Consider the following 12,325-nt stretch of genomic DNA (forward strand, 5'->3'; position numbering starts at 1 on the left):
AACTGTACAACCACATGGAAATTAATCATGTTCCTCAACCACTGATAGATCAAGAAAAAAAATTAAGAAGGTAATTCTTTATTTTGAAACAAAAGTAGAAACACAACATATCAAAACCTATGGGATATAGCAAAAGCTGCACTAAGAGGGAAATTTATAGTAATAAACTTTTACATCAAAAAAATAGACAGAGGGCCAGGTGTGGTGGCTTATGCCTGTAATCCCAGCACTTTCGGAGGCTGAGGTGTGCAGATCACTTGAGGTCAGGAGTTTGAGACCAGCCTGGCCAACATGGTGAAACCCCATATCTACTAAAATTACAAAAATTAGCCAGGTGTGGTGGCAAGCACCTTTAATCACAGCTACTCAGGAGGCTGATGTAGGAGAATTGCTTGAATCCAGGAGGTAGAGTTTGCAGTGAGCCAAGATTGCACCACTGCAATCCAGCCTGGGCGATAGAGTAAGACTCCATCCCCCCCCATCCCCCCACACACAAAAGTTCAAAAAACAACTTAATTATGCACCTTAAGGAACTAAAAAAGTAAGAACAAACCAAACCCAAAATTAAGTCAAGGAAAGAAGTAATAAAAATCAGAACTAAAATAAGTGAAATTGACACCAAAAATAATATAAAAGATCAGAAAAACAAAATGTTGTTTTTTAAATAAGAAAAAATTAACAAACCATTAGACTAAGAAAATAAGGAGAGAAGATACAAATAAATTAAATCAGAAGTGAAAAACGAGACACAACAACTGAGACCACAGAAATTCAAGCTATCATTACAGACTATTATGAACAACTATACTCCAACAAATTGGAAAACCTGGGGGGAATGGATAAATTCCTGGACACATAAACCTACTGAGATTGAGCCAGGAAGACATAGGAAGTCCGAATAGACCAATGAAGACTTACAAGATTGCAGCAGTAATATAAAGTCTCCCAAGAAAAAAACATTTTTGAAAGGGAAGGAATTCTTCCAAACTCATTTTATGAGGCTAGCATTACCCTAATACCAACAGCAAACAACACAACAAAAAAAGAAAACTATAGGCTAATATCCCTCATGAACACAGATGCAAAAATCCTCAACAAAATACTAGCAAACAAAGTCTAACAGCACATCAAAAAGATTATACACTATGATCAAGTGGGATTTATCCCAGGAATGCAAGGATATTTAAATATACACAAATCAACACACGTAAGACATCACATTAACAGAAAGACCAAAGCCATTTGATCATCTGAATAGACGCAAAAAACATTTGATAAAATTCAGCATTGTTTCATGATAAAAACTCCCAATAAAGTAGATATACAAGGAATGTACCTAAATACAATAAAACCATATATGACAAATCCACAGCCAAAATCATACGGAATGAGGACAAGTTAAAATCTTATATTTAGGAAAGCTAAAGACTCCACAAAACAACTCCTAGAACTGTTAAACCAATTTAATGAAGTTGCAGGATACAATATTAACAAACAAACAAAATTAGTAGCATTTCTACAGACTAACAGCTAACTATGTGAAAAGAAATCAAAGCATAAATCCCATTTACAATAGCTACCAAAAATACATAAGAATACATTTAACCATGAAAATGAAAGACCTCTACAATGAAAACTATAAAAGACTAATGAAGGAATTGAAGAGAACACAAAAAATGGGAAGACATCCCATGTTCATATATTGGAAGAACAAATCTTGTTAAAATGACCATACTCCCTAAGAATCCTGTGGATTCAACGCAATCCCTAGCAAAATACCAGTGATAGAGAAAACATTCCTAAAATTTGTATGGAACCTCAAAAGACCTCAAGTAGCCAAAGCAATTTTGAGCACAAGGAACAAAGCTGGAGACATTATAATACCCTAGTTCAAAATACACTACAACCAACAAGCTATAGCAACCAACACAGTATAGTACTTGCATAAAAACAGGCACACAGACCAAGAGAACAGAATAGAAAACCCAGGAATATATTACCTATTTATAGCCAACTGATTTTCGACAAAGCCATGAGGAACGTACACTGGGGAAAGAACAGTCTCTTCAATAAATAGTGTTGGGATTAATAGTCATATGCAGATGAATGAAACTAAACCCTTGTCTCTCCTTTATATGAAAATAAACTCAAAATAGATTAAAGACTCACAACTATGAAACCACTAGAAGAAAACGGAGGAGAAACACTTCAAGTCATTGGACTGGGCAAGGATTTCATGGCTACAGTCTCAAAAGCACAGGAAACAAAAGGAAAAATAGACATATGAGATTATATCAAACTAAAATACTACTGCACAGCAAAGGAAGCAATCAATAGAATAATGAGGCAACCTGCAGAACAAAAAGAAATATTTGCAAACTATTCTTCTACTAAGGCATTAATATCCAGAATAGACAAAGAACTCAAACCACCCAACAGCAAAAAACAAACAAACAAATAGTATGATTTAAAAATGAGCAAAGGATCTGAATAGACATTTCTCAAAGACACAAACGGTCAACAAGCACATAAAAAAATTTAACATCACTAGTGAATAGGGAAATGAAAGTCAAAACCATAATGAGATATTATCTTTCCCTGGCTAGAATACAATGTTTATATATGGGGAATGTTTATTGCAGCACAATTCACAATAGCCAAGATAAACAATCAACTAAGTGTCCATCAATAGATGAATGGATACAGAAAATGTCGTATATTTACACAACAGAATACTATTGAGCCATAAAAATGAATAAAATGCTTTCATTTGTGGCAACATGGATAAGACTAGAAGACATTATGTTAAGTGAAAGAAGTCAGGCACAGAAAAAGAAATACTGCTTGTTCTCACTCATATATGGAAGCTATAAAAGTTGACCTCATAGAAGTAGAGTAGAATAGTGGCTCCAAGAGGCTGGGAAGGGTAGGGGGACAGGGGAGCTAGCAGGAATAGGTTGGTTAACAGATACAAAGTTGCAGTTAGATAGGAAGAATAAATTCTAGTGTTCTACAGCACTGCAGGGTGATTATAGTAAACACTAATCTATTGTATTTTTTCATATAGTTAGAAGACAAGATTTTGAACATTCTCAACCGAAAGAAACAATAAAGGTTTGAAGTGATCTATATGCTTATCACCCTTATTTGATCATGACACATGTATACTTGTATTAGAATATTACATTGTGCCTCATAAATATGTATAATTATATGTCAATTAAAACAACAGCAATAAAAATTACCCTCTTGACCCTAAATTTACCTTTCATATTAGAATAAAATATTAGTTTGAAAAGGTAAAATTTAATAACACAATGTACAAAAAGAGATTATCAAGCAAAAGGGTGTATAGATTTTTTTAAGGCTGAGAAAATTGTGTGCGTGTATGTGTGTGTGTATAAAGAATTAGTGGCAATAGGGGTGGGGAATAAGGTGGTGGTGGTGGCAGTGGCAGATTCTTTGATCATGAGTCCAGCTAGAAGGGATATTACAAAAATTGGTGAGCAAGTACATTACTTAGATAGAGAAACAAAACTATCCAGAAAAGTTGTGTGAGCAATGAGAAGGATCAAAATGTGCTGTTAGTTGATATTTCCACAATTTAGTGTTTAATATTCTGTTTTTATTTTCTAGCTCATTGAAAAATTTTTGATTTGGGGAATTTCTGCAGGAAAAGATAGAAATGCAATTTATATTTCCTAAATTATATAGCAGATTATATATACTTTTGGTTAGTCTACCTCATTTTTGACAGTTACAGACAAATGTTTGTAAAATACTCCTTTGTGCTTTCTAAGGAAGCAATTGTTGTGGCTTAAAGAAGCCATGGTTGGCTGTTCAGGTTCACCTATGGTTATCTCAGGACTAGCCCTACTTCATTGTTTCCAGATCCTCTTCTACTCTGAAATCCTGGTCTAGATGTTTCTCTATCCTGTTCCATTGTTTTATATTGACTGACAATTTTTTCCTCTCATTCCTGCTGACTCGGTATATTTAGAAAGCCTGCCTTTGTTTTTGCCTCAGAAGCTGTTCATAGGCAGTTCCCAGGGGAACCCAGGATGACTAGCTTGTCCATTTACATTACAGAACCATGGCCTTGGAGCATCAGATTTAGGAAACATGGAAGAGCTAGCAGGAATATTTGCTACCTCTGTGTTAACTTAGTCATTACTCTGTGGATAGCAATACCTAATTTGGTAGGACAAGTGGAAAATCTGCTGGTGGAATAAAGCACCATGTGGGCATTAGCTTCATCCTCATGGCACGGCCTCAATTGCTTAAAGAAGTTATTTATGTCCTTAAAATAGTTGCCTTTGAAACTCAACTTGTCTGCTAAGACTACTGTTGAAGAGAGAACAATCATACCCTACAGATCTCCCACTTCCCTAGTTAGACTGAGCAGGTAGAGTGATTGGAATCCTACATGGCTGGAATAGCTGAGAAGTGTTCAACAGCTTCACAGGCAGTGAGGAAGGGCCAATATGAACACCCTAAGAGGACAATTCATGGCAAATAGATCTTGATTATTTCAACCTGGAGAGAAAATGAAAACTAGCCTATTAGCAATTTCCAACAGTTTGTATGCTGCTGTGCTACAGCATTTCTCTAATTTTTAGCTAATATTTGAATGAAAACATAATACTCTCTTCAGTCAGCTATTAGAGGATTTGGCTGTATCATTACATGAAAAACTGGCTTGGATCCAGAGATGGGCAATATCACAGAACTGATTGCCTAACACATCTGAAGTTTAACCCCAGTTGCAATTTCTACAATTGGGATCTGTCAAATTCCCAATTCTTCATAAATAAATCACTCTTTACTTAAGTTAATGTGAGTGAATTTCTTTCTTTCCTTCTTTCTCTGTCTTTCGTCTCTCTCTCTCTCTTTTTCTCCCTTTCTTTCTTTCTTTCTCTTTCTTTCTTTTTCTTTCTTTCCTCTCTCTCTTTCTTTTTCTTTCCAATCAAGCAGATTCCTAAGACAATGTCAAACTTCCCTTTGCCTTTGTAAACAATCTATTAAGTGAGCATGATCAAGATGTCTTTATAAAGGAGGAATTTTTCAACATAATTTTTGGCCAAACATAATTTCAAAAGAGAATAATACAGTACTATTTGTGCTGACAAGAGACGCCTGTTGGCCAGCTCCATTGCTTCAGTGTTAAAGATCTCATCTATTTCCTTGTTACAGTGTGGACATTTCACCTTCTGATGTTCTGTTGTTTCTTCTTCGTTCAACTAAATAAAACATAAATAAAAGAACAAAAAATACATGAATATTAACATATTGTTTAGCAAAATCCACAAGCAATTTTTGTACCAGTTTGCATTGAAAAATGGTAGCAAATCTGGTAGATAAGAAAAATGTTCAGATCCTCATCATTTGCTCAAATGTCCTAATCATTTGCTCAGTTATAGAAGGTAAAATAATTGTCAGTTTTGCGGGGAGGAGTTATATCATATCTTTACTTTTACACGGCATTATTAACAGTTTAAAAAGCTATCACATATATGATCATGCTTTACACTAGCAGTTTTCAAAGTGTGGTCTCCCAGCAGCATCAGAATCACCTGGGAATTGTTAGAAACGTGCATTCTCAGATCCCACCTTAGACCTAGTGAATCATAATTGGAGGAGTGGGCGTCAATCTGTGTTTCTAAAACCCCATTTGAAAATTTTGCTGCAGCTAAAGCTTGACAACCACTGCTTTAAAATGATACTTAATGTAAAATAGAAAGTGAACACACGTAAAGGAAATGGGAGTATGAATAATTTACAGATGAGAAACTGAAGCTTAGAGAAAATTGATGATATGCTCAAAATTACAAAGCTATTAAGTGAGAAAGCTAGGCTATAAAGCCAGATTTTCTGATTCCAAGGTTGGTGTTCTATCTTTAATACTATAATATCCCTCATGTTTGCATCACAAAAAGGAGAATGTAGTCATTTGATCCTCTGCCTTCTAAAACAGATCAAGTACCAGAGTGGTGGCCCCAACACTGGCTTCTGCATTAGAATTAGCTGGGTAGTGGACTTAAAATATTCCTGGATCCCTGCTCAGACCACCTGCATAAAAATCTTCAGAGAGTAGGTGAAAACTCAATCAATATTTTGAGTAAACTATCTGGATAATTCTGATGCAGACAAGTCAGCAAAAGTTCACAATCAGGTATTGGAAGCTACTAGAGAAATCTTTGGATATGACATGGTACTTGTTCCATCCAGAAATCCTGGCAGTATTCCTGCAGGCACAAGTGTCAGTTCTAAATTCCTATCTGGAGCTTTAAGCACTGGTTCAGTGGATATGAAATGGATTTTTTCAGAATTCTACTTCATAGAGACTAATTATCTCACCTAAGCACTCCCAGAAGTTGGCCCCTCATATTGTGTTTTGCAAAAAAAACAAAAACAAAAACATTGTAAAAACCATTGAAAACTGGACATGATGTAGGACACGGAAAAGTGCAGCAGCTGTGAAGACCCCAGGACAACTTTTATTATTTCCCTTTAGGGAAACCATGACTGATTAGTGTGCTGAGTGTTCTTAAAAGAATGAGTCTGACTGCAGATATCTTAAAGCATATCTCAGAAGCAGAAGGTGACATCTCCCACAGCTAAACTTTGGCTTTGAATTCTATTTTATATTGAAAATATTTTTAACCATAAATTAAGGTCTAGCAAATGCTTAGATACACAATAGCCTAAATAAATAAACAAAGACCCCTGACCCCTCCCAATTTGGTCAAAAACTAGCCATTTTCTAAGGTTCACTTTCATACACACACACACACACACACACACATATATATATATATATATTATATTTTTTTTTTTTTTAAGAAAGGGTATCTCTTTGCTGCCCAGGCTGGAGTGCAGTGGCACAATCACGGTTCACCACAGCCTCAACCTCCCAGGCTTGAGTGATCTTCCTACCTCAGTCTCCCGAGTAGCGGGGACTACAGATGCACACCACCACCCAACTAATTTTTTGTATATTTTATAGACACATGGTTTTGGCATGTTGCCAGGTTCGTCTCAAACTGCTTGGCTCAAGCAATTCACCTGCCTTGGCTTCCCAAAGTGTTAAGATTACAGGCATGAGCCACTGTGCTGACCTATGATGTCTTTTAAAGGGAGCTCCAATACACAGCCTCCTCTTTTGAATTTAAACATATATATTTTAAACATACACATAAAACATATATTTTATTTTCAAATTTTTGGTATTTCTTGATTCTTTTTTTCATTATACTTTAAGTTCTAGGGTACATGTGCACAATGTGCAAGTTAGTTACATATGTATACATGTGCCATGTTGGTGTGCTGCACCCATTAACTCGTCATTTACATTAGGTATCTCTCGTAATGCTATCCCTCCCCCAACCCCCACCCCACAGCAGTCCCCAGTGTGTGATGTTACCCTTCCTGTGTCCATGTGTTCTCATTGTTCAATTCCCACCTATGAGTGAGAACATGCAGTGTTTGGTTTTTTGTGCTTGTGATAGTTGGCTGAGAATGATGGTTTCCAGCTTCATCCATGTCCCTACAAAGGACATGAACTCATCATTTTTTATGGCTGCATAGTATTCCATGGTGTATATGTGCCACGTTTTCTTAATCCAGTCTATCATTGTTGGACATTTGGGTTGGTTCCAAGTCTTTGCTATTGTGAATAGTGCCACAGTAAACATACGTGTGCATGTGTCTTTATAGCAGCATGTTTTATAATCCTTTGGGTATATACCCAGTAATGGGATGGCTGGGTCAAATGGTATTTCTAGTTCTAGATCCCTGAGGAATTGCCGCACTGTCTTCCACAATGGTTGAACTAGTTTAGAGTCCCACCAACAGTGTAAAAGTGCTCCTATTTCTCCACATCCCTCTCCAGCACCTGTTGTTTCCTGACTTTTTAATGATCGCCATCCTAAGTGGTATGAGATGGTATCTCGTTGTGGTTTTGATTTGCATTTCTCTGATGACCAGTAATGATGAGCATTTTTTCATGTATCTGTTGGCTGCATAAATGTCTTCTTTTGAGAAGTGTCTGTTCATATCATTTGCCCACTTTTTGATGGGGTTGTTTTTACTTGTAAATCTCTTTGAGTTCATTGTAGATTCTGGATATTAGCCCTTTGTCAGATGCGTAGATTGCAAAAATTTTCTCCTATTCTGTAGGCTGCCTGTTCACTCTGATGGTAGTTTCTTTTGCTGTGCAGAAGCTCTTTAGTTTAATTAGATCCCATTTGTCAATTTTGGCTTTTGTTGCCATTGCTTTTGGTGTTTTAGACATGAAGTCCTTGCCCATGCCTATGTCCTGAATGGTATTGCCTAGGTTTCCTTCTAGGGTTCTTATGGTTTTAGGTCTAACATTTAAGTCTTTAATCCATCTTGAATTAATTTTTGTGTAAGGCATAAGGAAGGTATCCAGTTTCAGCTTTCTACATATGGCTAGCCAGTTTTCCCAGCACCGTTTGTTAAATAGGGAATCCTTTCTCCATTTCTTGTTTTTGTCAAGTTTGTCAAAGATCAGATAGTTGTAGATGTGTGGTATTATTTCTGAGGACTCTGTTCTGTTCCATTGTCTAGATCTCTGTTTTGGTACAAGTACCATGCTGTTTTGGTTAGTGTAGCCTTGTAGTATAGGTTGAAGTCAGGTAGCATGATGCCTCCAGCTTTGTTCTTTTGGCTTATGTTTGACTTAGCAATGTGGGCTCTTTTTTGGTTCCACATGAACTTCAAAGTAGATTTTTCCAATTCTGTGAAGAAAGTCATTGGTAGCTTGATGGGGATGGCATTGAATCTATAAATTACCTTGGGCAGTATGGCCATTTTCACGATATTGATTCTTCCTATCCATGAGCATGGAATGTTCTTCCATTTGTTTGTATCCTCTTTTATTTCGTTGAGCAGTGGTTTGTAGTTCTTGAAGAGGTCCTTCACATCCCTTGTAAGTTGGATTCCTGGGTATTTTATTCTCTTTGAAGCAATTGTGAATGGGAGTTCACTCATGATTTGGCCCTCTGTTTGTTTGTTATTGGTGTATAAGAATGCTTGTGATTTTTGCACATTGATTTTGTATCCTGAGACTTTGCTGAAGTTGCTTATGAGCTTAAGGAGATTTTGGGCTGAGACGATGGGGTTTTCTAAATATACAATCATGTCATCTGCAAACAGGGACAATTTGACTTCCTCTTTTCCTAATTGACTACCCTTTATTTCCTTCTCCTGCCTGATTGCCCTGGCCAGACCTTCCAACACTATGTTGAATAGGAGTGGTGAGAGAGGGCATCTCTGTCTTGTGCCAGTTTTCAAAGGGAATGCTTCCAGTTTTTGCCCATTCAGTATGATATTGGCTGTGGGTTTGTCATAGATAGCTCTTATTATTTTGAAATACGTCCCATCAATACTATTAAGAGTTTTTAGCATGAAGGGCTGTTGCATTTTGTCAAAGGCCTTTTCTGCATCTATTGAGGTAATCATGTGGTTTTTGCCTTTGGTTCTGTTTATATGCTGGATTACATTTATTGATTTGTGTATGTTGAACCAGACTTGCATCCCAGGGATGAAGCCCACTTGATCATGGTGGATAAGCTTTTTGATGTGCCACTGGATTTGGTTTGCCAGTATTTTATTGAGGATTTTTGCATCAATGTTCATCAGGAATATTGGTCTAAAATTCTTGTTTTTTGTTGTGTCTCTGCCAGGCTTTGGTATCAGGATGATGCTGGCCTCATAAAATGAGTTAGGGAGGATTCTCTCTTTTTCTATTGATTGGAATAGTTTCAGAAGGAATGGTACCAGCTCCTCCTTGTACCTCTGGTAGAATTCGGCTGTGAATCCATCTGGTCCTGGACTTTTTTTGGTTGGTAAGCTATTAATTATTGCTTCCATTTCAGAGCCTGTTATTGGTCTATTAAGAGATTTAACTTCTTCCTGGTTTAGTCTTGGGAGGGTGCATGTGTCGAGGAATTTATCCATTTCTTCTAGATTTTCTAGTTTATTTGTGTAGAGGTGTTTATGGTATTCTCTGATGGTAGTTTGTATTTCTGTGGGAGTGGTGGTGACATCCCCTTTATCATTTTTTATTGCATCTATTTGGTTCTTCTCTCTTTTCTTCTTTATTAGTCTTGCTGGTGGTCTATCAATTTGGTTGATCTTTTCAAAAAACCAGCTCCTGGATTCATTGATTTTTTGAAGGGATTTTATGTCTCTATTTCCTTCAGTTCTGCTCTGATCTTAGTTATTTCTTGCCTTCTGCTAGCTTTTGAATGTGTTTGCTTTTGCTTCTCTAGTTCTTTTCATTGTGATGTTAGGGTGTCAATTTTAGATCTTTCCTGCTTTCTCTTGTGGGCATTTAGTGCCATAAATTTCCCTCTACACACTGCTTTGAATGTGTCCCAGAGATCCTGGTATGTTGTGTCTTTGTTCTCATTGGTTTCAAAGAACATCTTTATTTCTGCCTTCATTTTGTTATGTACCCAGTAGTCATTCAGGAGCAGGTTGTTTAGTTTCCATGTAGTTGAGCGATTTTGAGTGAGTTTCTTAATCCTGAGTTCTAGTTTGATTGCACTGTGGTCTGAGAGATTGTTGTGATTTCTCTTCTTTTACATTTGCTGAGGAGTGCTTTACTTCCAACTATGTGGTCAGTTTTGGAATAAGTGCAGTGTGGTGCTGAGAAGAATGTATATTCTGTTGGTTTGGGGTGGAGAGTTCTGTAGATGTCTGTTAGGTCCGCTTGGTGCAGAGCTGAGCTCATTTCCTGGATATCCTTGTTAACTTTCTGTCTCATTGATCTGTCTAATGTTGACAGTGGGGTGTTAATTTCTCCCATTATTATTGTGTGGGAGTCTAAGTCTCTTTGTAGGTCTCTAAGGAGTTGCTTTATGAATCTAGGTGCTCCTGTATTGGGTGCATATATATTTAGGAGAGTTAGCTCTTTTTGTTGAACTGATCCCTTTACCATTATGTAATGGCCTTCTTTGTCTCTTTTGATCTTCGTTGGTTTAAAGCCTGTTTTATCAGAGACAAGGATTGTAACTCCTGCCTTTTTTGTTTTCTGTTTGCTTGGTAGATCTTCCTCCATCCCTTTATTTTGAGCCTATGTGCACGTGAGATGGGTTTCCTGAATACAGCACACTGATGGGTCTTGACTTTTCATCCAATTTGCCAGTCTGTGTCTTTTAATTGGAGCATTTAGCCCATTTACATTTAAGGTTAATATTGTTATGTGTGAATTTGATCCTGTCATTATGATGTTAGCTGGTTATTTTGCTCGTTAGTTGATGCAGTTTCTTCCTAGCATCGATGGTCTTTACAATTTGGCATGTTTCTGCAGTGGCTGGTACCGGTTGTTCCTTTCCAGGTTTAGTGCTTCCTTCAGGAGCTCTTGTAGGGCAGGCCTGGTGGTGACAAAATCTCTCAGCATTTGCTTGTCTGTAAAGGATTTTATTTCTCCTTTGCTTATGAAGCTTAGTTTGGCTGGATATCAAATTCTGGGTTGAAAATTCTTTTCTCTGAGAATGTTGAATATTGGCCCCCACTCTGTTCTGGCTTGTAGAATTTCTGCCGTGAGATCAGCTGTTAGTCTGATGGTCTTCCCTTTGTGGGTAACCCAACTTTTCTCTCTGGCTGCCCTTAACATTTTTTCTTTCATTTCAACTTCGGTGAATCTGACAATTATGTGTCTTGGAGTTGCTCTTCTCGAGAAGTATCTTTGTGGCATTCTCTGTATTTCCTGAATTTGAATGTTGGCCTGCCTTGCTAGATTGAGGAAGTTCTCCTAGATAATATCCTGCAGAGTGTTTTCCAACTTGGTTCCATTCTCCTCGTCACTTTCAGGTATACCAATCAGACGTAGATTTGGTCTTTTCACATAGTCCCATATTTCTTGGAGACTTTGTTCATTTCTTTTTATTCTGTTTTCTCTAAACTTCTCTTCTCACTTCATTTCATTCATTTGATCTTCCATCACTGATACCCTTTCTTCCAGTTGATTGAATCGGCTACTGAAGCTTGTGCATTCGTCACGTAGTTCTCGTGCCATGGTTTTCAGCTCCATCAGGTCCTTTAAGGACTTCTCTGCAATGGTTATTCTAGTTAGCCATTCGTCTAATCTTTTTTCAAGTTTTTTAACTTCTCTGCGATGGGTTCGAACTTCCTCCTTTAGCTTGGAGATGTTTGATCATCTGAAGCCTTCTTCTCTCAACTCGTCATATTCATTCTCTGTCCAGCTTTTTTCTGTTGCTGGTGAGGAGCTGCGTTCCTTTGGAGGAGGAGAGGTGCTCTGATTTTTAGAATTTTCAGTTTTTCTGTTCTGTTTTTT

General features: G+C 37.2%; 1 protein-coding gene across 14 annotated transcripts in view; it reads right to left on the bottom strand.

Annotated features, from left to right (window-relative positions):
- The window catches only part of SLC9C1 (solute carrier family 9 member C1), a 153,319-nt gene that overhangs the window by 85,349 nt on the left and 55,645 nt on the right, over window positions 1-12,325 (bottom strand). For all 14 annotated transcript variants that reach the window (NR_135297.2, XM_011512718.2, NM_001320531.2 and 11 more), the window contains one exon: window positions 5,115-5,240. Coding sequence is in view for 13 of the 14 variants with exons in the window: in XM_011512718.2 (XP_011511020.1) it covers window positions 5,115-5,240 (126 nt within the window). In the remaining variant the exon portion in view is untranslated. The remainder of the gene's footprint in view (window positions 1-5,114; window positions 5,241-12,325) is intronic.

This window comes from Homo sapiens, chromosome 3 (genome assembly GCF_000001405.40).
Source record: "Homo sapiens chromosome 3, GRCh38.p14 Primary Assembly".
Taxonomy (NCBI): domain Eukaryota; kingdom Metazoa; phylum Chordata; class Mammalia; order Primates; family Hominidae; genus Homo; species Homo sapiens.